Genomic DNA, 17,068 nt, shown 5'->3' on the forward strand with positions numbered 1-17,068 from the left:
CAGGCTGGAGTGCAGTGGTATGATCATGTCTCACTGCAGCCTTGACTTACCTGGGCTCAGGTGATACTCCCACCTCAGCCTCCCAAGTAGCTGGGACTACAGGCATGCACCATCGTGCCCAGCTAATTTTTGTATTTTTTGTAGAGACAGAGTTTCATCATGCTGTCCAGACCGGTCTGGAACTCCCAGGCTCAAGTAATCCTCCCACCTCGGCCTCCCAACATGCTGGGATTACAGGCATGAGCCACTGCCTAGCAACTACTCTTGTAACGGGACACAGAGTGAGTAGGGAATCTCTTATGAATAGTTATATTTACTATAAAGACATTGTAATCAAAATACTATTGATATAAAAATGGACAAACCCAGGCCAGGCATGGTGGCTCATGCCTGTAATCCCAGCACTTTGGGAGGCCGAGGTGGGCAGATCATCTGAGGTCAGGAGTTCAAGACCAGCCTGGCCAACATGGTGAAACCCTGTCTCTACTAAAAATACAAAAACAATTAGCCAGACATGATGGCACGCAGCTGTAATCCCAGCTACTCAGGAGGCTGACGCAGGAGAATCACTTGAACCCAGGAGGCGGAGGTTGCAGTGAGCCAAGATCTTGCCATTGCACTCCAGCCTGGGCAACAAGAGTGAAACTCCATCTCAAAAAAAAAAAAAAAAAAAAAGGACAAACAGCAGTGGTAGACAATCCAGAAATACATCCATTTATATCTGGACACTTAATATACATACAATCCGGCACTGCGATTCAGGGGGAAGATATGGTTGACTTAATAAGTGGTGCTGGCATAAGAGGCCACCTGTGCGATGGGCAACGTGAATGGGTAAGTGAAGGCACCCTGAGGTTGACTCTTTGTGTTCAAATCCCAGCTCCTCTACCTTTTAGCTCTGTGAACTTCAGCAAGTTACCTAAGTTCTCTAAGCCTCAGGTCCCCCATTTCTTTTTTTTTTTTTTTCTCAGAGTCTCGCTCTGTCGCCCAGGCTGGAGTGCAGTGGCACGATCTCGGCTCACTGCAACCTCTGCCTCCCGGGTTCAAGTGATTCTCCTGCCTCAGCCCCCCAAGTAGCTGGGATTACAGACATGTGCCACCATGCCTGGCTAAGTTTTTTTTTGTCTTTTTAGTAGAGATAGGTTTTCACCATGTTGGCCAGGCTGGTCTTGAACTCCCGACTTCAGATGATCTGCCCGCCTTGGCCTCCCAAAGTGCTGGGATTACAGGCATGAGCCACCGTGCCCAGCCCCAGGTCCCCCATTTCTGAGAGGGGAATAAAAATGCAAAGATGCTTCACAAGGCTGTTGTGAGAAATAAATGAATTATTATATCTACACGATTTAAGGAAAATGCCTAGCACAGAATATACTGATTAAAAATACAAGGCTGGACTCCTACCTCATGTTATTTACAAAAGTAGTTTTCAAATGATTTGAAGATTAGAATGTAAAAAGTAAAACATAAATATATCAGAAGACAATATAGAAAATATGTTAATATATTCATAGCACCCAGAGAAAGAAAAGATACATGTATTTATGGATTTTATTTTATTTTTTATTTATTTTTTGAGACAGGGTCTCTATCTATCGCCCAAGCTAGAGTGCAGTGGTGAGATCTCGGTTCATTGCAACCTTCACCTCCCGGGTTCAAGCGACTCTCGTGCCTCAGCCTTCTGAGTAGCTGGGATTTCATGCACCTGCCACCATGCCTGGCTAATTTTTGTATTTTTAGTAGAGACAAGGTTTCACCATGTTGGTCAGGCTGGTATCCAACTCCTCACCTCGTGATCCGCCCACCTCAGCCTCCCAAAGTGCTGGAATTACAGTCATGAGCCACTGCGCTCGACCTGGATTTTTAAAAATATGGCAAAAGACGCTGTAAAATCAAAGACAAAACTCAAAATGATCATGTATTTAAATGTACAATGTAAAACTATAAGCATTTTGGAAGAAAATACAAAAAAATCTTCTGGACCATCACTCCTGTAGTCCCAGCACTTTGGGAGGCCGAGGCAGGTCGATCACCTGAGGTCAGGAGTTCGAGACTAGCCTGGCCAACATGATGAAACCTCATCTCTACGAAAACAAAAATTAGCTTGAGCCTGGGAGGTTGAGGCTGCAGTGAGCCGTGTTCTTGCCACTGCACTCCAACCTCGGTGACAAAGTTAGACTCTGTCTCTAAAAATTATAAGAAAAAAGTAAAAATCTTCTGGACCTAGAGATTGAATGAGTTCTTAGACTCAACACCAAAAGCACCATTTATAAAAGAAAAAAATCAGTAAATTGGATTTCATCAAATTTAAAAACTTTTGCTCTGTAAAAGACCTTGTTCAGAAGATGAAAAGATAAGCTACAGACTGGCAGGAAATGTTTGTGATCTATCCATCTGAAAAGGGATTGATATCCAGAATATACAAGAAACTCGAACATCTCAACAACAACAACAAAAATCTGATTTAAACATGTCATACAAATGAACCGAATGACATTTCTCAAAAGACATACAGATGGCCAACAAATATATGGAAAAAATGCTCAACATCACTAATCATCAGGGAAATATAATCAAAACCACAATGAAGTATTACCTCACCCCAGTTAGGATGGCTATTGTCAAAAAGAAAAAAATAACATACTGGTAAGGATATGGAGAAAACAATGTACTGTTGGAAGGAATGAAAACTGTTACAGCCACTGTGGATAATGGTATGGAGGTTCCTCAAAAAACTACAGATAGAATACCAGATGATCCAGCAATTTTACAACTGAGAAATTTATCCAAAGGAAAGCAAATCCGTCTGTGGAAGAGATATCTGCGCCCTGTGTTTATTGCAGCACCATTCACAGTAGCCAAGATATGCAGTCAACTCAAGTGTCCAACAACAGATTAATGCACAAAGAAAACATGGTACATATATACAATGGAATACTATTCAGCCGTGAAAAGAATAAAAAGCAACATGGATGGAACCAGGGGACATGATGTTCGTGAAATAAGCAAGGAACGGAAAGTTAAACGCGGCATGTTCTCATTCACATGTGAAAGCTAAAAAAAAGCTGATCTCATACAAGTAAAAAGTAGAACAGAGGATACTGAGGCTGGGAAGGGAGGTGGGAAGGAGATAGGGAGAGTTTTGTTGAAGGTTGCAAAATTACAGCTAGATAGAATAAGTTTTAGCATTCTATACTACTGTAGGATGACTACAGCTAACAGTTATATATTGCAAATAGCTAGAAGGAGGATATTGGATGTTCCCAACACAAATCAATGATATGATGGATGTGCTAATTACCCTGATCTGATCACTATACATTATACGTGTTGAAATATCACTATGTACCATATGAATATATATAATTATTATTTATAAATTAAAAACCATCCCATTAGAAAATGGGCAAGTATCCCAGCACTTTGGGAGGCTGAGGCAAGTGGATCACGAGGTCAATAGATCAAGACCATCCTGGCCAACATGGTGAAACCGCATCTCTACTAAAAATATAAGAAAAAATAGCTGGGTGTGGTGGCACGCACCTGTAGTCCCAGCTACTTGGGAGGCTGAGGCAGGGAAATCGCTTGAACCAAGGAGGCAGAGGTTGCAGTGAGCAGAGATCATGCCACTGCACTCCAGCCTGGCGACAGAGCAAGATTCCGTCTAAAAAAAAAAAAAAAAGACCAGAAAGAAAATGAGTGAGCAAGTCGGGGCATGGAGGTGTGTGCCTGTTGTTCCAGCTACTCAGGACACTGAGGCAGTATGATCGCTTGAGCTCAGGACTTCAAGGTTGCAGTGAGTATATAATGGAGCCACTGCACTCCAGCCTGGGTGACAGATCGAGACCCTGTCTCCAAAAAGAAAAAAAAGACAAGAGCCATCTTGAAGGGTCTTCCACTGGCCAAATCACGAACAGGTTGAGGATCAACATAATGAGAACACAATATTACATATTACATTTCTTTGAATAGAAGAGGAATCCACGAGTCCTCACTGATAAAAATAAATAGGTTAAGATAAAGCTTTTCCCTACAATCAATGATGGGATTAGAAAATCACCACTTAGGCTGGGTGCGGTAGCTCACACCTCTAATCCCAGCACTTTGGAAGGCCGAGGCAGGCGGATCACAAGGTCAGGAGTTTGAGACCAGCCTGGCCAACATGGTAAAACCCCATCTCTACTAAAAATACAAAAAATTAGCTGGGTGTGGTGGTGGGCGCCTATAATCCTAGCTGCTTGGGAGACTGAGGCAGGAGAATCGCTTGAACCCAGGAGGCAGACGTTGCAGTGAGCCATGATCGTGCCACTGCACTCCAGCCTGGGCGACAAGAGCGAAACTCAGTTTCAAAAAAAAAAAAAAGGAAATCACCACTTAGGCCAGGCACACTGGTTCGCTCCTGTAATCCCAGCACTTTGGGAGGTTGAGGCGGGTGGATCACCGGAGGTCAGGACTTCAAGACTAGCCTGGCCAACATGGCAAAATGCCGTCTCTACCAAAAATACAAAAAATCAGCCGGGGATGGTGGTGGGTACCTGTAATCCCAGCTACTTGGGAGGCTAATGCAGGAGAATCACTTGAACCTGGGAGGCAGAGGTTGCAGTGAGCTGAGATTACGCCATTGCCCTCCAGCCTGGGCGACAGAGTGAGACTCTGCCTCAAAAAAAAAAGAAAGAAAGAGGCCGGGCGCGGTGGCTCATGCCTGTAATCCCAGCACTTTGGGAGGCCAAGGTAGGAGGATCACCAGGTCAGGAGATCAAGACCATCCCGGCTAACACGGTGAAACCCCGTCTCTACCAAAATACAAAAAAAAATTTAGCCAGGTGCAATGGCGGGTGCCTGTAGTCCCAGCTACTCGGGAGGCTGCGGCAGGAGAATGGCGTGAACCCAGGAGGTGGAGCTTGCAGTGAGCCAAGATCGCGCCACTGCACTCCAGCCTGGGCGACAGAGCAAGACTCCGTCTCAAAAAAAAAAAAAAAAGGAAGAAAGAAAATCACCATTTAGCAATCATCATGGTGATAATTAATTCAGAGATATAAACAATCCAAAACTAGTGGGAGAAAGTTGGAAAAGGAATAGGTATACAAAGTCTCAAAGGATCTCCCCATGAACTATGCATTCAATACAAAGAGGAGAAGAATGATTTGGCAGTGGAGAAGCCTGGCCACCTCCACCTTAATCAAGGGATCAAGATGAGCATCACCAGTCCTGGCACAAACTGGCATCGCATGCCACCTGGTTCTTTTGTGATGCCAAAAAAAGAATCCAGCTTCACCCCTGGGTTGCTACTGCCCAAAATGTGCAACTGAACAAAACCATGGGGCAACCAGACAGCCTGCAGTGGAGGAATATTCTACCTGACAGCCCGCGGTGGAGGAATATTGTACCGGACAGCCCGCGGAGGAGGAATATTCTACCGGACAGCCCGCGGCGGGGAATATTCTACTGGACAGCCCGCACTGCAGGAATATTCTACCGGACAGCCCGCGGTGGAGGAATATTTTACCGGACGGCCCGCGGCGGGGAATATTCTACCGGACGGCCCTCGGTGGAGGAATATTCTCCCTGACGGCCCGCGGTGGAGGAATATTGTACCGGACAGCCCGCGGTGGAGGAATATTCTACCGGACAGCCCGCGGAGGGGGAATATTCTACCTGACAGCCCTCGGTGGAGGAATATTTTACCTGACAACCCTCGGTGGAGGAATATTGTACCGGACAGCCCGCGGCGGGGAATATTCTACCGGACAGCCCGCGGCGGAGGAATATTGTACCGGACAGCCCTCGGCGGGGAATATTCTACCAGCAGCTGGTCGCTGGTCGTTAAGAGTCCAGAGAAGGAAGTCAAAGGCTGAAGAACTGTTCCTTACTGAAGGAGACGGAAGAGACTCAGACACACCTTTTGCGGAAAGGTCATCGTCATGGCAACAGGTGTGATTTGGGAACTTCATTGAGGTCTGTGGGCCAAGGGTATATGGGAGTTCTTTGTACAGTTCTTGTAACTATTCTGTAACTTTTTTTTTTAATGGGGTCTCGCTCAGTTGTCCAGGCTGGAGAGCAGTGGTACAACCACAGCTACTGCCACCTCGACCTCCCGGGCTGAAGCGATCCTCCCTGCCTCAGCCTACTGAGTAGCTGAGACTACTGGCACGGGCCACTATGCCCAGCCTGTAACTTTGAAATTAGTTCCGAAAAGTTTGGATCTTTCCATTTATGTCGGGAATTGTTAAGGCTCCCCACCTGGTGGTGATTGTGGACACTCCTGACACCATCAAAGCCAGGGCTTTCTCATCGCTGCTGGACACCAGCGGGCCCTGAAGGTGCACACTTTTGTCTCAGTCAAAAGTAGCCACCAGAGGGCATGATTTACCTAATTATGCACAGTACATATTCCCTGGGTCTGTGAGTCTCAAGCCTGTGCTTTCCTTTGGAGGATGGACACTGCCTTGGACTCAGACCCTCTTCCTCAGTTTCCATGGGGTTTTCATGCAAATTTAAATTGGGATTGAGACGATGAAGTGCCCTTCCTCGGTCTTCCCCAGGGGTGAGTCCCAGCTCTTGGACTGTATGATGTGCTGCTCTGTGAGTGGCTTCCTCCCAGTCTTTCGTGTGAAATACAAATAACATCAGGCCGGGCACCGTGGCTCACGCCTGTAGTCCCAGCTAGTCGGGAGGCTGAGACAGGAGAATTGCTTGAACCCGGGAGGCAGAGGTTGCAGTGGGCCGAGATCACGCCACTGTACTCCAGCCTGGGTGACAGAGCAAGACTCTGTCTCAAAAAGTAAAAAATAACATCAAGCTGGTAAGGGGATTATAACAACAAATAACCCATAAATCAAGGAATAAATGGATAAAAATAACAAGCCTACATTAGAATAGAAGGAAGGTCTCAAATCTGTGACTTCAGCTTCTACTTCAAGAAACTAGGGGCCGGCTGCAGTGGCTCACGCCTGTAATCCCAGCACTTTGGGAAGCCGAGGCGGGCAGATCATGAGGTCAGGAGATCGAGACCATCCTGGCTAACACGGTGAAACCCTGTCTTTACTAAAAAATACAAAAAAAAAAATTAGCAGAGCATGATGGCGGGCACCTGTAGTTCCAGCTACTCGGGAGGCTGAGGCAGGAGAATGGCGTGAACCCGGGAGGCAGAGCTTGCAGTGAGCTGAGATAGCGCCACCACACTGCAGCCTAGGTGATGGAGTGAGACTCCGTCTCAAAAAAAAAAAAAGAAACTACAAAGAGAATGGCTGGCGTGGTGGCTCATGCCTGTAATCCCAGCACTTTGGGAGGCCGAGGTGGGTGGATCACCTGAGGTCGGGAGTTCGAGACCAGCCTGACCAATGTGGAGAAACCCTGTCTCTACTAAAAATACAAAATTAGCCAGGCGTGGTGGTGGGCGCCTGTAATCCCAGCTACTCGGAGGCTGAGGCAGGAGAATTGCTTGAACCCAGGAGGCAGAGGTTGCAGTGAGCCGAGATCATGAAATTGCACTCCAGCCTGGGCAACAAGAGTGAAACTCCATCTAAAAAAAGAAAGAAAGAGGCAAACTAAACCCAAAGTAAGCAGAAGAAAGGAAATAATAGTAAGGTCAAGGTGGTAATAAGTGAAATAGAAAAAGAACACAGGCCAGGCACAGTGGTTCGCTCCTGTAATCCCAGCACTTTGGGAGGTTGAGGCAGGTGGATCACCTGAGGTCAGGAATTCAAGACCAGCCTGGCCAACATGGCAAAACGCCGTCTCTACCAAAAATACAAAAAATCAGCCGGGGATGGTGGTAGGTACCTGTAATCCCAGCTACTTGGGAGGCTAATGCAGGAGAATCACTTGAACCTGGGAGGCAGAGGTTGCAGTGAGCTGAGATTATGCCATTGCCCTCCAGCCTGGGCAACAGAGTGAGACTCTGCCTCAAAAAAAAAAAAAAAAAAGAAAAGAAAAGAAAAGAAAAAGAAAAAGAACACAATGGAGAAACATAAATGGATCCAAAAGCTGGTTCTTTCAAAAGACCAACAAATTGACAAACCTCTGGTGAAACTGACAAGAAAGAAGACACAAATTACCAATATCAGTAATGAGAGGGTGCAATCACTACAAATGAGAGAGTGACATCACTACAGATTCTCTTTTTTTTTTTTTTTTTTTTTTGAGACAGAGTCTCCTCTGTTGCCCAGACTGGAGTGCAGTGGCACGATCTCAGCTCACTGCAAGCTCCGCCTCCAGGGTTCACGCCATTCTCCTGCCTCAGCCTCTCCGAGTAGCTGGGACTACAGGTGCCCGCCACCACGCCTGGCTAACTTTTTTTTTGTATTTTTAGTAGAGACGGGGTTTCACCGTGTTAGCCAGGATGGTCTCAAACTCCTGACCTCGTGATCCCCCTGCCTCGGCCTCCCAAAGTGCTGGGATTACAGGCGTGAGCCACCGCGCCCGGCCATCACTACAGATTCTATAGATACCAAAAGGATAATATGGCAATGATGTTATGAACAACTTTATGCCAATTAATTTGACAATTTAGTTGAAATGGACCAATTCCTTGAAACACAAAAACTACCAAAAGTCACCTAAGGAAAAAAAACCTGAATAGCCATATATCTATTAAAGGAATTGAATTTTTAGTAGAAAATATTCCCAGAAAGAAAATTTCAGCCCAGGTGGCTTTGCTGGAGAGTTCCACCAAATGTTTAGGGAAGAAATAATAAGAGTTCTACACAAGCTCTTCCAGAAAATTTAAGAGGAGGAAATATTTTCCCAATCCTTCTGAGGTCAACATTTCCCTGATACCAAAACCAGAAAAAGACATTACCAAAAAAAGGAAAACCACAGACAAAATATTCCTTGTGGACATAGATGCGAAAATTCTAAACAAAATCTTAGCAAATGAATACAACTATATATAAAAATTAAAAGGCGCCCAGCCTTAGAGAATTTTTTTTAATTTTTGAAATTTATGTTATCTATCTATCTATCTATCATATAACTCTCTACCTATCAACCTATCTATTTTTTGATTCAAGGTCTCTCTCTGTCACCTGGGCTGGAGTACATGGCTCTCTGCAGCCTCGACCTCCTGGGCTCAAGTGATCCTCCCACCTCAGCCTCCGGAATACCTGGAACTACAGGTGTACACCACCATGCCTGGTTAATTTTTTTTTCTTTTTCTTTTTGTTCTTCTTTTCTTTTTTTTTTTTTTTTTTTGAGACAGAGTCTCACTCTATTGTTCAGGCTGGAGTGCAGTGGTACGATCCCGGCTCACAGCAAACTCTGCCTCCCATGTTTCAGTGATTCTTATGCCTCAGTCTCCTGAGTAGCTGGAATTACAGGCACACACCACCATGCCCGGCTAATTTTTGTATTTTTAGTAGAGAGGGGGGTTCATCATGTTGGCCAGGCTGGTCTCAAACTCCTGGCCTCAAGTGATCTGTCTGCCTTGGCCTCCCAAAGTGCTGGGATTACAGGTGTGAGCCACTGCACCTGGCCCTTGGCTAATTTTTTTTAATGTTTTTGTAGAGATGGGGGTCATACTGTGTTGCCCAGGCTGCGACCCTTCTTTGAGTTTTATGAGCTGTTGTTCTAGTAACTTATCAAGCCTGAGTGGGTAATGAGGACCTCTGAATTTGTAGCCAGTTGGTTGGAGGTTAGGGTGGCCCTGGAAATCCCCAAACTTGTGGCTGGTGTCTAAAGTGAGAACAGTTTTGTGGAAGACTGTCCCCTCAACTTGTGAAGTGGGGCCTAACTCCAGGTAGTTAGTATCAGAAGTCGCTGCAGAAGGTAAATTGCCACGACCCTTTTGGAAAGTTATCTGGCATAAGCACGTAAAAGTGAATATGTGCGTAGCCCTGATCCTAGAGACACTCTTGCACATGTACACCTGGAGACGTTAAATAAGGTTCTTAGCAGCATTTTTCATAATAGCAAAAATTGGAAATAATCCTAATGTCCAGAAACACGAAAATGGATGTATACATCCTGAGATACTCACACAATGGAATACTGCACAGCAATGAAAATCATGAATCCCACAAACATAATAATGAGTGAAAGTAGGTTATTATAAGCATGTACCTTTGGCCAGGTGCAGTGGCTCACGCCTGTAATCTCAGCACTTTGGGAGGCCGAGGCAGGTGGATGACCTGAAGTCAGGAGTTTGAGACCAGCCTAACCAACATAGCGAAACCCTGTCTCTACTAAAAACACAAAAATTAGCCGGGCGTGAGGGCGGTCACCTGTAATCCCAGCTACTCCAGAGGCTGAGGCAAGAGAATTGCTTGAACCCAGAGGGCGGAGGTTGCAGTGAGCCAAGATTGCGCCACTGTACTCCAGTCTGGGCAACAGAGTGAGATGCCATTAAAACAAAAAAGAAAGAAGGAAGGAAGGAAGGAAGGAAGGAAGGAAAGAGAGGGGCCCATGGGCCAAAGCCTTTCCTGGAGTCCAGGTGTTACTTACCCAGGCAGGTTTCCATGGTGAGTCCTTTTTTTCTGAGACGGAGTCCACTCTGTCACCCAGGCTGGAGTGCAATAGCACAGTCAGCTCACTGCAACCTTTGCCTCCCAGGTTCAAGAGATTCTCCCGCCTCAGCCTCCCAAGTAGCTGGGACTACAGACGTGTGCCACCACACCTGGCTAATTTTTGTATTTTTAGTAGAGACTGGGTTTCACTATGTTGGCCAGGCTGGTCTCAAACTCCTGACCTCGTGATCTGCCCGTCCGGCCACCCAGAGTGCTGGGATTACAGGCGGGAGCCACCGCACCCGGCCTCCATGGGGAGTTCTAATTGGTGTTCTCAGAGCAAGCAGGAATGAGTTCTGTGGATTTGTGTTGTGACTGAGAGGTGGTCATTGCAGCAGCATATCTACGCAGTCTATGCAGGGTGTAGGGGTCTCTGGGGCAAGTCAACTAGGTTGTATGTAGATGTCCCTTATTCAACCAGGAGGTGGTTGAATGAGGCAGATACCTGGGTCAATCCCATTGAAGAACTGGAGGAGGTGGAGAACTGGAAACTGTGACAAGGGTGACTGAGCCTTGATTTTGGAATGAGAAAATCCAACTTATATTCAAAATAGATGCCAAGGCAAAATTGCAATTCACTACACTTCCCATTCATTTTGAGCTCTTGAAGGTTTCCTTGACTTCCTTATAAGCTCAGTTTATATTTTAAAGGATGTTTCTTGTATCTTCTCTTGCATTTCTAGATTGTAGTAAGAAGGTTTTTTTAGAATATTTGGTCTACTATATGGCTAGAGGAGAAAAGTCTCTCCTAATTATTTTTTCCATATGTTGAGTTTTTTCTTGTCTATTACAGACATATTAGATTTCTTGTAACTTCTAATTTTCCTCTCATGTTTTTCCTCTTTGTCCTTTTATTTATTTATTTAGAGATGGAGTCTCACTCTGTCACCCAGGCTGGAGTGCAGTGGCACGATCTTGGCTCATTGCAACCTCTGCCTCCCAGGTTGAAGCGATTCTCCTGCCTCAGCCTCCCAAATAGCTGGGATTACAGCATACGTCACCACGCCAGTCTAACTTTTGTATTTTTAGTAGAGATAGGGTTTCACCATGTTGGCCAGGCTGGTCTCAAACTCCTGACCTCAAGTGATCTGCCCACCCTGGCCTCCCAGAGCGCTGGGATTATAGGTGTGAGCCACTGTGCCCAGCCCTATTTTGTCTTTCGTTTTGGATATACTCTCGACTTTAACTTGTCAAACACTAATTCAATCTTCAGCCATATTCAATCTTCCACTGGTTTTGTTGTGTTGTATTGTATTATATTGTATTGTATTTGTTTATTTTGAGACAGAGTTTCACTCTGCCCCCAGGTTGCAGTGCAGTGGTACCATCTTGGTTCACTGCAACCTCCACCGCCTTCGAGGTTCAAATAATTCCCCTGCCTCAGCCTCCCAAGTAGCTGGGATTACAGGCACGCAACACTGTGCCTGGCTAATTTCTTGTATTTTTAGTAGAGACAGGGTTTCACCATGTTGGCCAGGCTGGTCTTGAACTCCTGACATCGTGATCTGCCCGCCTCAGCCTCCCAAAGTGCTGTGATTACAGGCATGAGCCACTGGGCCCAGCTCTCCCATTGGTTTTAAATTCAGCAATCATGATTTCAGTGTTCAATATATCTTTGTTCTTTGATTGCTCCTTTATCATGACATCTGTTCTTGTTTTATGGCTGCAGTATTTTCCTGAATTTTCAGAGCATAGTAACTAGAATTCTTTAAAAGTTCTGGCCAGGCATGGTGGCACACACCTGTAATCCCAGCACTTTGGGAGGCCAAGGCAGGCAGACCACTTGAGCTCAAGAGTTCGAGACCAGTCTGGGTAACATGGTGAAACCCTGTCTCAGCAAAAAATACAAAAAATTGGCCGGGCGCGGTAGCTCACGCCTGTAATCCCAGCACTTTGGGAGGCCGAGGTGAGCAGATCACGAGGTCAAGAGATCCAGATCATCCTGGCCAATGTGGTGAAACCCTGTCTCTATTAAAAAAAAATACAAAAATTAGGCCAGGCGCCATGGCTCACGCCTGTAATCCCAGCACTTTGGGAGACCAAGACAGGCAGATCACGAGGTCAGGAGATTGAGACTATCCTGGCCAACATGGTGAAAACCTGTCTCTACTAAAAAAAATACAAAAAATTAGCTGGGCGTGGTGGCAGGCGCCTGTAGTCCCAGCTACTCGGGAGGCTGAGGCAGGAGAATGGCGTGAATGTGGGAGGCGGAGCTTGCAGTGAGCCGAGACTGCGCCACTGCACTCCAGCCTGGGCAACAGAGCGAGACTCTGCCTCAAAAAAAAAGAAAAAAAATACAAAAATTAGCTGGGCATGGTGGTGGGTGCCTGTAATCCCAGCTACTCTGGAGGCTGAGGCAGGAGAATCCACTTGAACCCAGGAGGCGGAGGTTACAGTGAGCCAAGATCATGCCACTGCACTCCAGCCTGGTGAAAGAGAGAGGCTCCATCTAAAAAAAAAAAAATTAGCCAGGTATGGTGGCACACATCTGTGGTCCCAGCTACTCAGGAGGCTGAGGTGGGAGGATCACTTGAGCCTGAGAGGTGGAGGCTGCAGTGAGCCAAGATCGCACCACTGCACTCCAGCCTGGGCGATAGAGCGAGACTCCACCTCAAAAAATAAATAAATAAATAAATAAATAAAAGTTCCCGGCCAAGTGTGGTGGCTCACGCCTGTAATCCCGGGGGGGCCGAGGAGGGTGGATCACAAGGTCAGGAGATCAAGACCATCCTGGCTAACACAGTGAAACCCTGTCTCTACTAAAAATACAACAACAACAAAAAACACAAAACAAAATTAGCCGGGCGTGCTGGCAGGCGCTTGTAGTCCCAACTACTCGGGAGGCTGAGGCAGGAGAATGGTGTGAACCCAGGAGGCGGAGCTTGGGTGAGCCAAGATCGCACCACTGCACTCCAGCCTGGGCGACAGAGCCAGACTCCATCTCAAAAAAAAAAAAAAAGTTCCCTTCTGCTTCACATACTGTGTTACCTCTGTAAATAGGTATATGCCTTTGGTTTACTTAATATCTAGTGATTCTTGGTTTTTGTTCACATTCATTAGTGACATCAGTTGATCAGTTTGGGTGACATCATGGGTTTCCTCAGTATTCAGGAAGGTATTTTTCTCTCCTAAACAGAGAGTTGTCTGTGGGCTCATGGGTGACTGCCAGAAAGCCAACAGGCTGCAAATAGGGTTGCCAGATAAAATACAGGATACCCAGTTAAATTCGAATAGAGGATACGGTATTTACTATTTGTCTGAAATTCAAAATTTACTGTCCAGGATACAGTTAAATTTGAATTTCAGACAAACAACAAATACTTTTTGGTATCAACGTGTCCCAAATGTTACATGGGTGCCGTCTTTTTAACAGCTTTGATATATAGTTCAAATACAATCAACCCATTTAAAGTGTACAATTTAAATGTTTTAGTACAATTTAAATGTTTAGAATATTTACAATTTAAATATTCACAGTTGTGCAACTACCAGCATAATCTAATTTTACAACATTTTCAACATCCAAAAAAGAAAGCCCAAACCCATTGTCTCAGTCAGCTCAGGTTGCCATAACAAAATACCATAGACTAGGTGGTTTAAACAATAGAAATGTATTTTCTCACATTTTTGGAGACTAGGAAGAAGTCCAGGATCAAAGTACTGACAGATTTGGTTTTTGGTGAGTGCCCTTCCACTTCCTTAGAGGCCCCATCTCTAAACACAGTCACACTGGGGTTAGGACTTCAGCATATGCATTTTTTGGAGGGACACTGTTCGGTCCATAGCACCCACTAACAGTCACTCCTACTCCCCTTACCCTACCCTTCCCTTGACAACTGCTAATTTACTTTCTGTCTCTATGAACTGACTATTCCGGACGTGTCTTATAAATGGGATCATAAAATATGTGATCTCTTGTGATTTCTTTCTTTCATTTAGCGTAAGATTTTGGAGTTCATATGTGTTGCAGCATATGTCAGTACTTTGCTCCTTTTTATGGCTGAATAATATCCCTTTGCATGGATTTATCTGTTTATTTTTCCATTCGTCAGTTGACAGACATTTGGGTTGTTTCCACCTTTTGACCACTATGAATAATGCTGCTTGTACACGTTCACGTTTCTGTGTGGTTTTCAGTTTTCATTTCTCTTGACTAGATGCCTGGGAGTGGAATTGCTGGGTTATATGATAACTCTGTTTGCGTTTTTTTGATTTTTTTTTTTTTTTGAGATGGAGTCTGGCTCTGTCATCCAGGCTGGAGTGCAGTGGCACCGTCTTGGCTCACTGCAACCTCTGCCTCCTGGGGTCAAGTGAGTCTCCTGCCTTAGCTTCCTGAGTAGCTGGGATTACAGGCGCGTGCCATCGTGCCTGGCTAATTTTTGTATTTTTAGTAGAGATGGGGTTTCATCATGCTGGTCACTCTGGTCTCGAACTCCTAACCTTGTGATCGACCAGCCTCAGCTTCCCAAAGTGCTGGGGTTATAGGCGCGAGCCACCATGCCCAGCAAATGTCTGACTTTTTGAGGAGCTGACAAAATGTTTTCCACAGTGGCGGCTCCATTTTACAGTCTCACCAGCAGTGTATGTGGGTTCCAATTTCTCCACATCCTCATCAACAGTTGTTTAATCTGTGTTTTTGGCCGGGTGCAGTGGCTCACGCCTGTAATCCCAGCACTTTGGGAGGCCAAGGTGGGTGGATCATCTGAGGTCAGGAGTTCAAGACCAGCCTGACCAACATGGAGAAACCCCGTCTCTACTAAAACTACAAAAAAAAATTAGCCAGGCGTGGTGGTGCATGCCTATAATCCCAGCTACTCGGGAGGCTGAGGCAGGAGAATTGCTTGAACCTGGGAGTGGAGGTTCCAGTGAGCTGAGATCGTGCCATTGAACTCCAGCCTGGGCAACAAGAGCAAAACTCCATCTCAAAAAAAAAAAGAAATTCTGTGTTTTTGATCATAGCCATCCTAGTGGGTTTTGCACCAATAATGTCTGCTACACCCTACTTTGCAAAACCATTATGACTATATATATGAACACTATGCAAGGTTTGCTCTCAGGGAAGCTTTGGAAAGGACCCGTCCAAGCAAGGCACCATGAAGCTTAAATTTTATTACCTTCCTTTAAGTACTGTTTTCTTTTTTTTTTTTTTGAGACAGTCTCACTCTGTCACCCAGGATGGAGTGCAGTGGCACAATCTCCACTCACTACAACCTCCCCCTACCAGGTTCAAGCAATTCTCCTGCCTCAGCTTCCCAAGTAGCTAGGACTACAGGCACACGCCACCATGCCCGGCTAATTTTTATATTTTTAGTAGAAATGGGTTTCACCATGTTGGCCAGGCTGGTCTTGAACTCCTGGCCTCAAGTGATCCACATGCCTTGGCCTCCCAGAGTGCTGAGATTGCAGGTGTGAGCCACCGCACCCGGCCTAATTTACTGTTATTTATTTTATTTTTGAGATGGAGTCTCCCTCTGTTGCCCAGGCTGGGGTGCAGTGGCGCTATCTTGGCTCAATGCAACTTCTTCCTCCCAGGTTCAAGCAATTCTCCTGCTTCAGCCTCTCGAGTAGGCGGGACTAGAGGAGTGTGCCACCACCCCCGGTTACCTTTTGTATTTTTTTTAGTAGAGAGGGGTTTCACCATGTTGGCCAGGCTGGTCTCAAACTGCTGACCTCAGGTGATCTACCTGCCTTGGCCTCCCAAAACGCTGGGATTATAGGCATGAGCTACCACACCTGGCCTAAGTACTGCTATCTTGAAGGAGGCAGACAGAAACCAAGCAGTCATGGGTGGCGGGTGGGCTGAGTCTCTGTAAGTTGCCCAGGGAAGATAGCTCTGACAAATAATTAGAAGTTGCCAGCCTTGTGTACAGCTGAGAAAAGAGCATTCCAGGCAGAAGAGACAGCAAGTGCAAAGACCCTGAGGCCAGAATGGCCACCAAAGTTGTTTGGTTCCGTGTCCTGAGCTACCAGCTTGGCAGATGGCTGGTGCCCAAAAAATGCTGGAGTGAGGGAATGCCCTTCTTTTGCCCTCCCTTCCTCCCAGTCTGTGTGTCTCTAGAAGGTTGCTGCTCCGCCCACAGTGGAGGACACGTGAAGAACTGGAGTCCTTTTCTGGGGCAGACTCCAATACTGGGACAGAGAAACTCTTCTGCCACGACCATGGAACTGGGAGGTCCCAGTGTCTTTCTTTCCCAACTGCTCTGAGAAAATCGGCCAGTGGCAGGTGGAAATGATATGGAGCCACAGAGCAGCAGGGCAGCAGAGAGGGAGAGCAATGGTAGGGTAGACAGTACAAGGCTCCAGAGAGCTCCTGGATAAAGCAGTGCCGGAAGCTGGCTCCCTCCAAACCTCCATTTACAAATTTTCTCTTCGTGCAAGTCAGTTTGAGTTGGGTTTGTCACTTGCGACTGAAGACGTCCTGACAAATGCCCCAAAGCTACCAGCTCAGAGATGCCCAGAGGCCTCTCCAAAGCTGCCTCCTCAGGTCCCCACTGGGGCCCTGTGTTGTCCTGTCCCTGGACGGCCTGAGCTTCTCGGTGGCCGTGCCAGCCTGGACAAGAGCAGGCCTT

This window comes from Homo sapiens, chromosome 8, assembly GCF_000001405.40.
Source record: "Homo sapiens chromosome 8, GRCh38.p14 Primary Assembly".
Lineage (NCBI taxonomy): Eukaryota > Metazoa > Chordata > Mammalia > Primates > Hominidae > Homo > Homo sapiens.